The 14401-nt window shown below is 36.8% G+C and overlaps 1 protein-coding gene across 10 annotated transcripts in view; it reads left to right on the top strand.

Annotated features, from left to right (window-relative positions):
* Positions 1-14401, top strand: part of SOS1 (SOS Ras/Rac guanine nucleotide exchange factor 1) — a 143320-nt gene that overhangs the window by 117223 nt on the left and 11696 nt on the right. For all 10 annotated transcript variants that reach the window (XM_047445581.1, NM_001382394.1, NM_001382395.1 and 7 more), the window contains 5 exons: positions 453-615; positions 1117-1234; positions 10221-10393; positions 10608-10724; positions 12259-12523. In XM_047445581.1, the coding sequence (XP_047301537.1) occupies positions 453-615; positions 1117-1234; positions 10221-10393; positions 10608-10724; positions 12259-12523 (836 nt within the window). The remainder of the gene's footprint in view (positions 1-452; positions 616-1116; positions 1235-10220; positions 10394-10607; positions 10725-12258; positions 12524-14401) is intronic.

The following is a 14401-nucleotide window of genomic DNA, read 5'->3' as shown; positions in this document are numbered from 1 at the left end:
GCTGTTCCTAGAAATGTATGTAGCCAATAATATATGAAAGAAAGAAATTGAGCATTAATCACTAAAATCTTGCAATTAGATGAAGAATAGAACACAACAGAATTCTTGAATTCTACTAGAATACACCCACATCACAAAGACCTCACAAAGACCTCCATACATTCCACAAGATAGTGGCCTCACCAGTTAATTCTGATGCTAATAGAGGATGCACCAAATATAGTAGGAAAATGATTGTTTGACTGTACCAGTCTAGAAGACGGGAAAGAGCAGTATGCCTGACTGGAGGCACTGCCTTCCTTCTATCAGTCACCCTGAATGTGTCTTCTCTATAGTAGTTATACTATCGCCACCCCCCTACTCTCTACATTATTTTATTTACTAAATTCTTTAAGCTATAACTTTATTGGAAAAACTCTAAAACCTTTAGTTCACTTTTTTTTTATTCCCAGATGTATTGTAGAAACTGAAAATTTAGAAGAAAGAGTAGCTGTGGTGAGTCGAATTATTGAGATTCTACAAGTCTTTCAAGAGTTGAACAACTTTAATGGTGTCCTTGAGGTTGTCAGTGCTATGAATTCATCACCTGTTTACAGACTAGACCACACATTTGAGGTAGGTTTCTACATGTGTTTTTAAAATGAACTTTCATTCCCTATTAGAAAAATTAGATTTTTAACAATTATTATCTTTAATTTTTAAATGTCTCATTTGTCTTTTCAGTAGTAGATTAAAAGACTGAATTATCTAAGTTTTGTAATGAATTGGTTGCTTTTTAAAATTTAAGCATTCCTATTAAAATGTATTCACAGGTCCCAGCCTAAGCTAGAAGAAAAAACTTTCGGCACTTAATTTGTAAGATAATGTACAGTTAAATGTTCACATAATTGTGTAAGGAATGACATGATAAACTAGATCTCTCTCACACACACACATACTTTAAGTTTATACTGAGGTCTATGAAGATAATTTATTTGAAGCAATATTTGAAGCAATGTTACAGTCATAAAATCAAATTGATACTGTTGTATTTGGGCGTTTCTGTTAGCCTAGTATTTTTTTTGACAAGACCTTTGATTCCTTTTGTAAACTTACGCCTATTTTTTTTCCTTATAGCAAATACCAAGTCGCCAGAAGAAAATTTTAGAAGAAGCTCATGAATTGAGTGAAGATCACTATAAGAAATATTTGGCAAAACTCAGGTCTATTAATCCACCATGTGTGCCTTTCTTTGGTAAGTATTTCTTTCTGAATTTTTATTGCATTTCTGGATAAAACAAAACACTCATTTCATTAAATGACTGAATAATTACATGTGTAATATGCCAGCAGAAAATACTTGTTTGATCAATATTTAGCACCTGAAGCCCTTTAGAATTTTTCTCATTAAGACTTAAGGTGAAGTCTAATATACATTTCATTTTCTATTTTCATCTTAGGCAGCCATTAGATATTATTTAATACTTGTGTTTTTATATTTATAAAAGCCTTTTTAATTGCATTTTAATAAACTAAATACAGCAGAGGCATAGCCAAACTCAACTATATTTATAATCATTTTTGTAAACAGTTTCACATGGCTAAAAATCATAGTGTGCCTGCTGTGCCTTTGGGCCCACACCTCTGGCACATCAAAATTTTATTCTCTTCATCCTCTCCTATTTTTCCCCTTCTGCATCAGAGGAAGGAAGTACCTTTTCCTTCCTTTTTAGGACTGAATCTACCACCTGAATCTCCCTTTCTGTAGGTTCCTCTATCTTTTTCCGTTCTTTATTTCCTTTATTTTCATGTATTCAATATCTCTTTCCTACTCTCATCTTTTCTCTGCCTGAGTATATGCTCTGATGATCCTTCTTTTGAATGCTTATAGAAATTATGATCTCTCTATAGTCTCTTTAGTATGTGCTATAGTTTCTTCTAGCCTTTTCCTCATCTATATTTTTTATATAGTTTTAAATCCCACTGCATATAACAATGTTATGTCCTGATACTTTTAATATATTTTCCCACATTTTATTGTTTGGGCTTTATAGCAACCATTTTTGTATTTACTTCTAATCTTTTTGCTGTGCACATTGTATATAATTGTAATTGTATGATGTGCATATTAAGGTTATTCACTTATCATATCTTATATTTTTGTATTTTATTAAATAATCTTAATTATTTATAATGGCTGCATAATATTCCATAAAGTTGGACAATTTGTTTTAACCATTACCCTGTGATTGGACACATTGTTTCCAGCTTTTTTGCTTTCCACATGATTTTCTGATTCACATTTTCATTTATACTATTTTTCTGTATTTGAAAATATCTTCTTGAGACAAATAACCAGAGGAGGAATTACAGTAGTGCTCCCATCTCCACGGTTTCACTTTCCACGGTTTCAGTTATCCATGGTCAGCTTTGGTCCAAAAACATGAGATATTTTGGGAGAGAAAGACCACATTCATGTAACTTTTAGCTATTTTTAATCTTACTGTGCCTAATTTATAAATTAAGCTCATACGTATGTATGTATGTGTATATGTATGTATAGGGTTTAGTACTACCTATAGTTTCAGGTATCCACTGGGGATCCTGGAACATATCACCTTTGGATAAGGGAGGGACTACTATACATAGGTTAAAAGGTGTCCATTTTTAAACTGTTGATATGTGATTTTAAGTTGCTTTCTGAAAGGCTGCCATGAGAAGTGTATGACAATTATGCTGCCATCAAGTGTATGACAAAGCAAATTTCATCCCATGGTTTCCAATTTTGGATACTTTTTTTTTTCATTTCTATTATTACAACTACTAAGCTATTTGTTGCAATAATTTCCATTCTTTGATTACTGTGGAGATTTTTTTCATACATTCTTTAATATTTGTATTTCCTCTTGTCCATGTCATTTTTCGTATCTCCTGCAAACAATCTGCCTTGTACTTTTTATTCATTGACATGTATTAGTTTTAAATTCTACCATCTGTCCTTTCTCATTCTGGTTTCTATTGTTTCTAACCTTAGAAAGTTCATATAATCTAGTAATAATCATATTTTCTTCTAGCTTTTTTTATGACTTTCAAAATTATATTTAACTCTAATATCAAACTGAAGTATCTTTAATATCTTATGAAATACTCAAATTTATTTCCCCACCCAAATTATTTATTTGTTAATCTAGGTTTACTGAATGATTCTACTTTTTCCCTGTTTACATATGGGACTTCCTTTTTTTTTTTTTTTTTTTTTTGACACAGAGTCTTGCTCTGTCACCCAGGCTGGAATGCAGTAGCTGCCATCTCGGCTCACTGCAAGGTTCACGCCATTCTCCTGCCTCAGCCTCCCAAGTAGCTGGGACTACAGGCGCCCACCACCACACCCAGCTAATTTCTTTTTTGTATTTTTAGTAGAGACAGGGTTTCACCGTGTTAGCCAAGATGGTCTTGATCTCCTGACTTCATGATCCGCCCACCTTGGCCTCCCAAAGTGCTGGGATTACAGGCTTGAGCCACCGCACCCGGCCAGGGACCTCCTTCTTTAATATGTATTGTATCTCACTGACTTCCTATACCCCTGCCACAGTTTTAAGGATTGTCACTTTATAATCAGTGATTCTCAGCAGGGGGCAGTTTTTGCCCCCCTAGGGAGCATTTAGCAATGCCTGGAGACAATTTTTTTTTAATTGTCCTAATTGGGATGGTGCTACAGGCATCTAGTGGGTAGAGGATAGAGATATTGTTAACATCCTGCAATGCATAGGACACTTCCCCACAGCCAATAAGTAAGTATCCAGTCCAAAAAGTCAGCAGTGCTGAGACAGAGAAACCCTGCTTTATATAGTGTTTTCACAGATGATAAAGTTGGTTCTTCAGGGTTTCTTCAGTCCTTTTTTTTTGGCCAATTTTGCCTGTTTATTTTTCCAAATGAACTTTATAAGTTTGAGTGGGGGGGGATGCCCCCAAATGTAACTGGAACAATCTGTCAATTAATTTGTAAAGAACATTTATTATATTTAGCATTTCCCCTTATTATTTTTCCTGGGTATTTTTGGTTTGAATGGTATTCATTAAGTTACCTTTAATTCCAAGAATTTTTAATTTCCTTGGGTTTTCTAAATATTTAATCATGTTTACAAAATATGATACAGTGTCTCTTCCTTTGACCTTATTTCTATGTTACGCCTTACATAATTGGTCATTAACTTCCCAAACAAAGCTTTAAAAATAATGGCAGAAATAAGCAGCTTGTTTGAAACTCAGTTTTAGCGGGGATAAAGTATAATTTTACTACTTGCTTGATTAGATGGTTTTTATCCTTTTAAGAAAGCATCCTTCTTGCTACAGAATTGCTTCATTTCATTATTTTAAAAATACTAGCCTTCAATTTATATCTACAAACTTTTTTTAATTACCGCTATTTGTAATATATCTTTCTCATTTCTGTTTTCACTTACTTGCTTTAATTTACTTTTTCTCCAAAAAGATAAGGTCTCTAATTATCTGCTGATCTTATGAGGTTTAAAAAAAATCATTATTAATTCCTAGTTTTCCTGAGGACTTTTCCCCTACCCCTACGTTCTTTTTTTTTTTTGATACAAGGTCTCACTTTATCACCCAGGCTAGAGAGTACAGTGGCACCATCTTGGCTCACTGCATCCTCCACCTCATGGGCTCAAGCAGTCATCCCGCCTCAATCCCCCAAGTAGGAGGAACTACAGGCACAAACCACTATGCCTGGCTAATTTTTTTATTTTTTGTAGATACAGGGTTTCACCAGGTTGCCCAGGCTGGTCTCGAACTCCTGAGCTCAAGAGATCCACCTGCCTTGGCCTCCCAAAGTTCTAGGATTACAGGTGTGAGCCACCGTACCCAGCCTGACCCTCTACATTCTTGATAAAAATATTGAGTTCATTGATTTTCTCTTCCTGGAAAAATATTAAAGCCTATATGTTTTTGCTTAAAGATATTACCAGTTCGTTTAAGAGGAACTGGAAAGGCTCTGGATATATCTGACGGTATGTCATTCAATCTGTCAACGTATATTTCTTGAATACCTACTAAGTACCAGGACTACGTCAGGTGCTTAGAAAAGTGAAAAATACACAGTCAGTCTGCTCACCTAGCTTATAGTCATGCTACTCATGATATCCCATGGTCTCCGGTACACAGACATGAAAAGAAACCTCAGGACCCATTCACTGACTCACTATTTGGCCCCTGCTCCTGTAACATCCTAATGGTTGGTATTTATTTATACAAACTGAAACTGTCCAAAGTCCTCTCTCAGATCTTTATAAACTTAACTGATCTTCATAACATGTTCTCTTTTTTTTTAAGACAGTTTCACTTTTGTTGCCCAGGCTGGAGTGTAATGGCACGATCTCGGCTCACTGCAACCTCTGCCTCCCGGGTTCAGCAGTTCTCCTGCCTCAGCCTCCCAAGTAGCTGGTATTACAGGCACCCACCACCACACCCGGCTAATTTTTGTATTTTTACTAGAGACAAGGTTTCACCATGTTGGCCAGGCTGGCCAGGCTGGTCTCAAACTCCTGACCTCAGGTGATCCACCTGCCTCAGCCTCCCAAAGTGCTGGGATTACAGGCGTGAGCCACTGCGCCTGGCCATAACATGTTCTTAAGTGAAAGGAGGAAGTTTCAGACCCACTTTAGAGTATGATTTCATAAGGTGTTTTAAGGTGAGCTGTGTGATTTATTGAGTGAATACAAACATGTAGGTAGTTTGATAGGCACACAAAGTTTAATAGGTGCAGCCCATCTGCCAACCTTCGTACCCCTTTCTTCTTGCCCATCTTCCTAGTTACTGAGCCTCTGCTCCTTTAAGGTAGTTTATCTACAACTGACCCTGGTCAGTTTTGGTGCCCTATCTGTGCTATTCTTAAGCTAAAAGTTACCAGTCTCTGGAGTTAGACAGCCTTTCATACAGTTCTGATCCGGTGGGTAAAGCCAGATGTTATTGCTGCTTCTGAATTCCATCCTGTCTATATGGTAGTTTATAGAAACTCCTTCCAGATTCTTTTCCTAAATTCTGGATACTGGTTTTCAAACCCCTTCTTTGGGGGAGGGTCAGGGATAGTAGCTGATACTTCCTCTATTATTTTACCAGCGTTAGTCCCATCTTTTGCTGGCACAACCACCATTTAAAGAATAAAAGTAGGGCAGTCACTCCTTCCAAAGCTCTGCCAGATGTTTCAGGTCTATAACACAGTTTTTCTCCATAAACTAAAATATTCTACTGATAGGAGAATGGATAGGTGGGCTAAGAAATGAATTTTTTCAGCTGGGCGCAGTGGCTCAAGCCTGTAATCCCAGCACTTTGAGAGGTTGAGGTGAGCGAATTGCTTAGGGCCAGGAGTTCAAGACCAGCCTGGCCAACATGGCAAAACCCCATCCCTACTAAAAATACAAAAGTTAGCCAGGCATGGTGGTGCATTCCTGTAGTCCCAGCTTACTCGGGAGGCAGAGGCACAAGAATTGCTTGAACCTGCCAGGAGGCAGAGGTTGTAGTAAGCCAAGATCGCACCACTATACTCCCGCCTGGGTGACAAGGCGAGACTCTGTTTCAAAAATAGAATTTTTTCTAAGGTAAAAGGAGGATGTACCTTAATCAGGTTTGTCATCAAACATCCAAGCCTTTAGCATTGGCTTTGCCCTTTGCTTTTACACAGCTCTGATCTTGTGTCCTCCTTCTGTTATGTGTAAATTTGCCTTGTCTCCATTCTTGCTTTCCAGCTATTTTAGAATTGATTCTCATATCCTGGCCTGTCTTTTAAATGTCTCTCTTCTATTTTGAAACAATATACTTCTTTCATTCAATCGAAAACCTTTGCTGAATGCCTCTATGTGTTATGCCCAGGGCTACATGCTAAGAATAGACAGATAAGATACAGTTCCGTAGTTTCTGTTCCCTTGAAAGAGCAGAGAAATAAGTCACAGCACTGTGTAGTAAGCATAACACTGTATTGTAGAAAAGTGTAGACTGAAGTGTGGACAAATGCCAGAGAAGCCTAGAATCCTAAGCAGCTACTTTATCCTGGGAAGGATGGGAAAGACATCAGCAAAAAAGGTGAAACCTCAGCCCTCTTCTTTGTCATAATGCTCTGTTTTCTCTTTCCCTAGAAGAGCTGCCTCCAGAGGTAGGGTATGTTAAATGATATATTGAAGTACAGGAGTAACTAGACTTTCTATTTATATATTTTTTAAAACATGAAAAAAAAACCTAAGCTTTACTAATATATAATTCTCAGGTTTATGTTATACATACACACATATACGCTATGTTTTTATTAAACTATATATGTGTATATAGGGAGAAAGCGAGGATATGTGCTTAAATATTTTTTACTGATGCAGTGTAAGATCAAAGTTTGGACACCACTGCTGTGATCATTTGTTCTTTTAGCTAGCCATCAGTTAGGCACAAAATAATTTCCAAATTTCATCCCAAACTGTACCAAAGTGCTACTTATAAGCATTTTCACAACTTCATTCAAGTGTGCTTTCAAGAACAAAGCTGTGAGTCTTCATTCCCACTGCCCCCATTTCCTCCCCAAACCAGTTAATCAGTTCTTGGGGAGTCTACCTCTTAAATATTTATCCACTCCCCATTATCCCCACAGACACTAGGGCAGCCCTCATCATCTCACCAGGACTATTGTTAGCCTACTAACTGCTCTTCATGTTACTGGTCTTAACTCCTTCCAACCCACCTGGCTTCATAGTACACCTAGAGTAATCCTTCCAGAATGCAAACAAAATCCTTCTAATTCCCTAATTATCTCCTAGATAAAAGTTAAGCTATTTGACAAAAGGCACACTTCATGACCCAGTCCAAGTGCTAATACCCACAAACTCTTCACAGATGGGCCATCAGTTTGTGACCACTATGGAAGGTTGATTTGGGCTGCCATTGAGCATGCATACTCTTATGGACGTGTTTGTCAGACTGAACACTGAGCTGAGTGGATCATGCAACTTGTGTAGAGGACAGTATAAATGGCTGAAAATAAAAGCCAAATGACAGGCAGATGTGAAAATAAAAAAGCCTGTGCTTACTAGAACACACAGTCACTTTGTCTTATGAATGTATCATCAGGCATAGCCCAGGTGCTGAGAAATAACCAAGTAACTAATGCACTTAATAACTGGATCCTTTTAAAAACCAAACAGGCATTGATGTCAGATTTCATTATTGCTGATCTGTTCAATATTGATTTGGATCCTTTTATCTTTCCAAGGATGTGGCCAAAGATTTCTGTGGTGTATGCCTCTACCACAAAAGCATTTAGAAGTACAAACCCAGCCCTTGCCTATGTCTATCCTCATATCCTGCCACTCTTCCTCTACCCCACACACCAAACCCCTATGGTCTAGCCATACTAAAGAGCAAATTATCTCTAAGTATGCCTTTCAAGCAAGCTTCATCATCATGAATCAATGCCTTTATACACACTGCTGCTTTGCTTAGACTGCTCTTCTACTTTATTCTACTCATTACACTTCTCATTTTTTGGGACTTATTCTAAGCATTATCTCATCTGTGATGCTTTTTCTAGTCCTCCCAGCTCAAGACAGAGTTTGGAATACCTCCTTTTTGCTCTCATAGCATGTTATGCATTCCTACTAATATAGCACCTCCTAGTATGTAGCGCTTAGCAAATTATACTGTAGTAGCCAACAGTTCAAAGCTCTGGATCCCTGAGGTCAGGAACGCCTTAAGCACTGGACTGCTGGAGGTCTTTCTCATCTTTGTACCTGCAGTACCTAATGCAGGACTTGGCTTACAGCAGAGAATCCGTACACATGTGGGGAGTGAACGAACTCAGGATCTTTTTTCTCCTCAAAGCATTGTAATCAGTACTTTAGGGAAAAAGGTAGAAGCATAAGAATATTAGGGCAAGATGCAACAACAGCATCAACAATCACAACCACGGCTAATTAATACTTAACGTTCGTCAGGCTCTATTCTAAGCTCATACATATATTCACTCATTTGTTTCTCACAGCAACCCTCCTGTCCTCATTTTACAGATGAGAAAAACTGAGGCACAGAGAGACTAATTAAGCAATTTGCACAAGATCACACACACAGGCTGCTCGCGGTGACTCACGCTTGTAATCCCAGCACTTTGGGAGGCCAAGGTGGGTGGATCACCTGAGGTCAGGAGTTTGAGACCAGCCTGGCCAACATGGTGAAACCCCGTCTCTACTAAAAAATACAAAAATTAGCTGGGTGTGGTGGCATATGCCTGTAATCCCAGCTACTCAGGAGGCTGAGACAGGAGAATCGCTTGAACCCAGGAAGAGGAGGTTGCAGTGAGCCAAGATCGTGCCATTGCACTCTAGCCTGGGAGACAGAGTGAGACTCCATCTCAAAAAATATAAAATATAAAATATAAAAAAAAAAATAAGATCACACACAGAGAAGGCAGCAGAACTGGTTCCAGAGCCTTTATGCTAGAATAGAAAGTGCCTGTTATTTTGTTCATTCTCCTCCTCGTCCAGTGTACAGCTGTAGTGATGGGGAAACAGGAAATCAATTACTAGGTTGCCACTAAGTCTACAAACTATTGAAGACCAGAATTTACATAAATCGTATGCAGTCCCACATTTGACAGGCTTGCAAAACCTTCCACATTTCCATGAGTAAGCCTATCCAAATAGTACTACTTCTCAATTGCAAATCATAACAACCTCTTGTGTGGCCGTCAGAGCTGACTAAGCAGAAACTATGATCCTCTGAATTTAGTATTTTTCCTGTTTGCCAAAAATGATGTGTCATTAGTGACGAAGTTATTCTTAAAGTTCCTTTAACAAAACTGTGATTTATATCAAATAACAATGGCTTGGAGGGGGTATGGAAAATTGATTATTCTTCCTAACAAATCTATTAATTTTATTAAACTTGGTCTCCCTCCCTTTTTCTTGGATGTTTATAAAATTTAAGTCTTTCTAAAAAAAATAAAAAAATAAAAAATATGTATCCCACTGCCTTCTGGCCTCCATGGATTCTGATGAGGAAAAAAAAAAAAAAATTTAAGTCTTTCACAGATACTTTCTCTTAAGCTGCTGTTTTCATATCATGGAAATCTGAGCCTTGGTTCTTTTGTTTTGGCAACTGAGATGGTACAGTGTAATATACCCACAATTAATGAAACAGAAAAAAACTTGCATTTTCCTTCTTTATCCTTGAAATCATTCCATTATATCTTCTAGGAATTTATCTCACTAATATCTTGAAAACAGAAGAAGGCAACCCTGAGGTCCTAAAAAGACATGGAAAAGAGCTTATAAACTTTAGCAAAAGGAGGAAAGTAGCAGAAATAACAGGAGAGATCCAGCAGTACCAAAATCAGCCTTACTGTTTACGAGTAGAATCAGATATCAAAGTAAGTTGAATTATTTAAAGATTCATACTTCTGATTAAGTTTCTAAACTACTTAATAAAAGGCAGGTTTATTTTATAGGGGAGAAAAAGTAAAATAAACCTTAAAAGAAATAATTCAAATTTACTTGTATTAAATGTTTTCTTAACTTTCCATGAATTTCAAACTGAATTTATAATTTTGAATATTAATAATTTTTTCTTTGCATTTATTTTAGAGGTTCTTTGAAAACTTGAATCCGATGGGAAATAGCATGGAGAAGGAATTTACAGATTATCTTTTCAACAAATCCCTAGAAATAGAACCACGAAACCCTAAGCCTCTCCCAAGATTTGTAAGCATTTGTATATTTGTCTGGTGATGTCATTACTACCATATGTGTTATATAGTTTTCCATAAAGGTATTCAGGGATGAAGTATACATGTGATAGTTAAAAGTAATGAAAAAGTACTTAATAATTATGTCCAGGAATATCCCACTTCCTTCCAAATAAATGAATGTTAGTATTAATTTGAGTAAATCCTGATATCAAAGATGATGAAATTGAGCAAATATTATGTAAGTTTTTAATTTTTTTTACCCCAAAAAATGTTAAGATTTTAAAGACAGGAATTTTAATGAATTTATACTAATTCACTTGTAATAAAATATCTACTTATGACATTTTAAAAGTAATGACTTATTAGAACTTTCAACCATGAATCATGAGCCATAAAATACCAAGTTTTGCTAACAATACTTTCTTGGGAAAATAAAGTTTCCATTGTTTTTTGTTACTTGTCAGTGCCCAGCCAAATTTATGAATAGAATCACCAACTCACTGATTTGACTATGTACTCTCTTGTTCATAAAAAAGTCAAAAGTCTGCCAGGTGCGGTGGCTCGTGCCTGTAATCCCAACACTTTGGGAAGCTGAGGCGGGTGGATCATCTGAGGTCAGGAGTTTGAGACCAGCCTGGCCAACATGGTGAAAACCCTGTCTCTAATGAAATACAAAACTTAGCCAGACATGGTGGCGGGAGCCTGTAGTCCCAGCCACTTGGGAGGCTGAGGCAGAAGAATCACTTGAACCCGGGAGGCGGAGGTTACAGTGAGCCAAGATCGTGCCATGGCTATCCAGCTCCAGCCTGGGAGACAGAGCAAGACTCGTCTCAAAAAAAAAAAGTCAAGAATCCTGAATTAAACATAGATGGCTTCTAAGTGACCAAGATAAATCACATAATGTCTTTTAATTAAAGTGTATGCAATTGCCTGACAGCAAAATTTCTCAAGCCCTTGTTCAGTTTTTAATAAGATGGATTAAAAATAGAAAATTATAAATAGGTATATAATCTGATCCAATGAAGCACTCACTGAGAAATGATCATTTTGCAAGGAAAATGCAATAAAACCAACATACATACACAAATGAAAATTGGGCAATTTAATGTATTCGTAAATATCTCAAATGGTCCTGATGGCATCACTGTATTACAGAATAGAAAGGTATTGTAATTCACAGTGATGATCCTGGCTTTTCAACAAGGTTAAATTTGCTCAAAATAGTCTGTTTTAAAAACCAGGGAAATATACAATACATTTTAGAAAAACTTCTACCCAAATGTATTAAAATAACAAATACTCTAGTATTTATAGGACTAAAACTTAGTTATTTAAAGAAATGCATTCTTTAACAATTTAGATACCAGGGCTTTAGCAAAATAGAATGTTAATGCTTTAAATGTTCTACTTTTATTTGAATAATTATGTCCTTATTAGTGATTTATGATTTTCCTGTATATTAGCTGAATTTTACCAGGCACATATAGAAAAACTTTCCTTTCTACTACAGTGTTTAAAGTATTGTGTTTCTTTTGATATGTCTACAGCCAAAAAAATATAGCTATCCCCTAAAATCTCCTGGTGTTCGTCCATCAAACCCAAGACCAGGTACCATGAGGCATCCCACACCTCTGCAGCAGGAGCCAAGGAAAATTAGTTATAGTAGGATCCCTGAAAGTGAAACAGAAAGTACAGCATCTGCACCAAATTCTCCAAGAACACCGTTAACACCTCCGCCTGCTTCTGGTGCTTCCAGTACCACAGATGTTTGCAGTGTATTTGATTCCGATCATTCGAGCCCTTTTCACTCAAGTAGGTGCAAAAATTCTAAGTGCATTAAGGTATTTGTTAGTACTATACATGCTAGAGGTAAAAAAGAATCTCTGTTATTTTTTTGTATGTGTGAACTTGTAGTTAAGTCAAATGCCATTTCAAAAGATAATATTATAAAAATATAAGACAAATTCTAAACTCCACCAACTTGAAATTTCTAAAAAATCTGCTGGAACAGCCCTCTTTAAATTTATTATACGTTAATGAAAGGCCTAGTGGTAAAATTGGCAGCTTAAATTTCATTTGAGCTTTTCAAATGCATTCCTCTTATCCAGAGGAGACAAAGATCAGTCTTAAAATCTGCAAGTAATTTTAGTCCCATGTTTCAAATGCTGCCTGGCTCCAAAATTATTATACAGGCTGAATATCCCTCATCCAAAAACCCAAAATCCAAAATGTTCTAAAACCCAAAACTTTTTGAGTGTCAACATAATGCTCAAAGGAAATGCTCATTGGAAGTTTTGAGATTTTTCAGTTAGGGATGCTAAACCAGTAAGTATGATGTAATATTCTGAAGTCCAGAACACTTTTGGTCCCAAGCATTTCAGATAAAGGATACTTAACATGTATTTGAATACTAGTCAGGGTACACCATCTACTCTCCACCAAATTCTTTAGTAGCTTTTAATTTTGCAATGTATCAGATTTAAGCCCTTTTCGTCTACCCAGTGGTCCCCTGATGGTATATAATGGCTGCTAATACACTATCTGTGCTTTTCAGTGCAGCGAAACAAATCTCACAGACTGCACACTACTGCTTATCCATCTCTTATTTCTAGACCAGCACTGTCCTATAGAAATATGTGAGCCACATGTATAACTTCAATTGTCTAGTTAGCCTCATTAGGAAAAGCAAAAATAACTTTAATACATTTTATTTAACCCAGTATATCAGAAATATTGTCATTTCAACATGAAATCAATATAAAAATTTATGATTGAGATATTTTACATTCCTTTTGTTCTAAATCTTTAAAATCCAGCGTGCATTTTACACTTACAGCACATCTCAGTTCAGACAAGCCACAGTCAGATGCTCAATAATCACATGTGGCTAGTGGTTGCCGGACTGTACAGCTCACCTTTTGAAAGGCTACCTTTTCAATCTAGATCACCAATAATTTTTTAAATTAATTTCATGTGAAACTTTAAAGCTCTTCTAAGAACCCTTTTTCATTTGTTCGTTATTAAATCAAAACTTCAATCCAGTCACCTTTAACTCTTTCATGACCATTTCCACATGCCCTTACCGTTGGCTATCTTAGCTCGATGTGCTAATCAAGTTCCCCCTAATTTGACATACTAGAATCTAATACTAGAGGCAGCATGACATTATTATGGGGGAGGAGGTTGAGAAGCACTAACCTCGAAGTTAGAATTTCTGGTTTGTCATCCCAGTCTGCTAATTAGCTTTCTGATTTAAGACAAAATACTTTTTCTGTGCCTTCTGGGGGTCAAATTCGATTTTTAAGATTCTCTCAGTTGGAAGAAATCTAACTAAAAATATACTTAAAATAATTCTTTGGTAGTATATTATTTTGAAATTTGGTCCAGAATCCTATTTGTTTATTCCTGTAGTATACATACGTCTGTAGTTACCCAGTAGTCTTTGTTGTCTTTGGGCCATCTAAAGTATATTTGGGCTGGGCATGGTGTCTCACACCTGTAATTTCAACACTTTGGAAGGCCAAGGTGGGAAAATCACTTGAGGCCAGGACTTTGAGACCAGCCTGGGCAACACAGCGAGACCCCATCTCTCCTAAAAAATAAAAAAATTAGCTGAGAGGAGAGGTGTGCACCTGTAGTCCCAGCTACTTGGGAGGCTGAAGTGGGAGGATTGCTTGAGCTCAGGAGTGT

Source organism: Homo sapiens, chromosome 2, assembly GCF_000001405.40.
Source record: "Homo sapiens chromosome 2, GRCh38.p14 Primary Assembly".
NCBI classification, from domain to species: Eukaryota; Metazoa; Chordata; class Mammalia; order Primates; family Hominidae; genus Homo; species Homo sapiens.
This window is presented reverse-complemented; position numbering and strand designations above follow the sequence as displayed.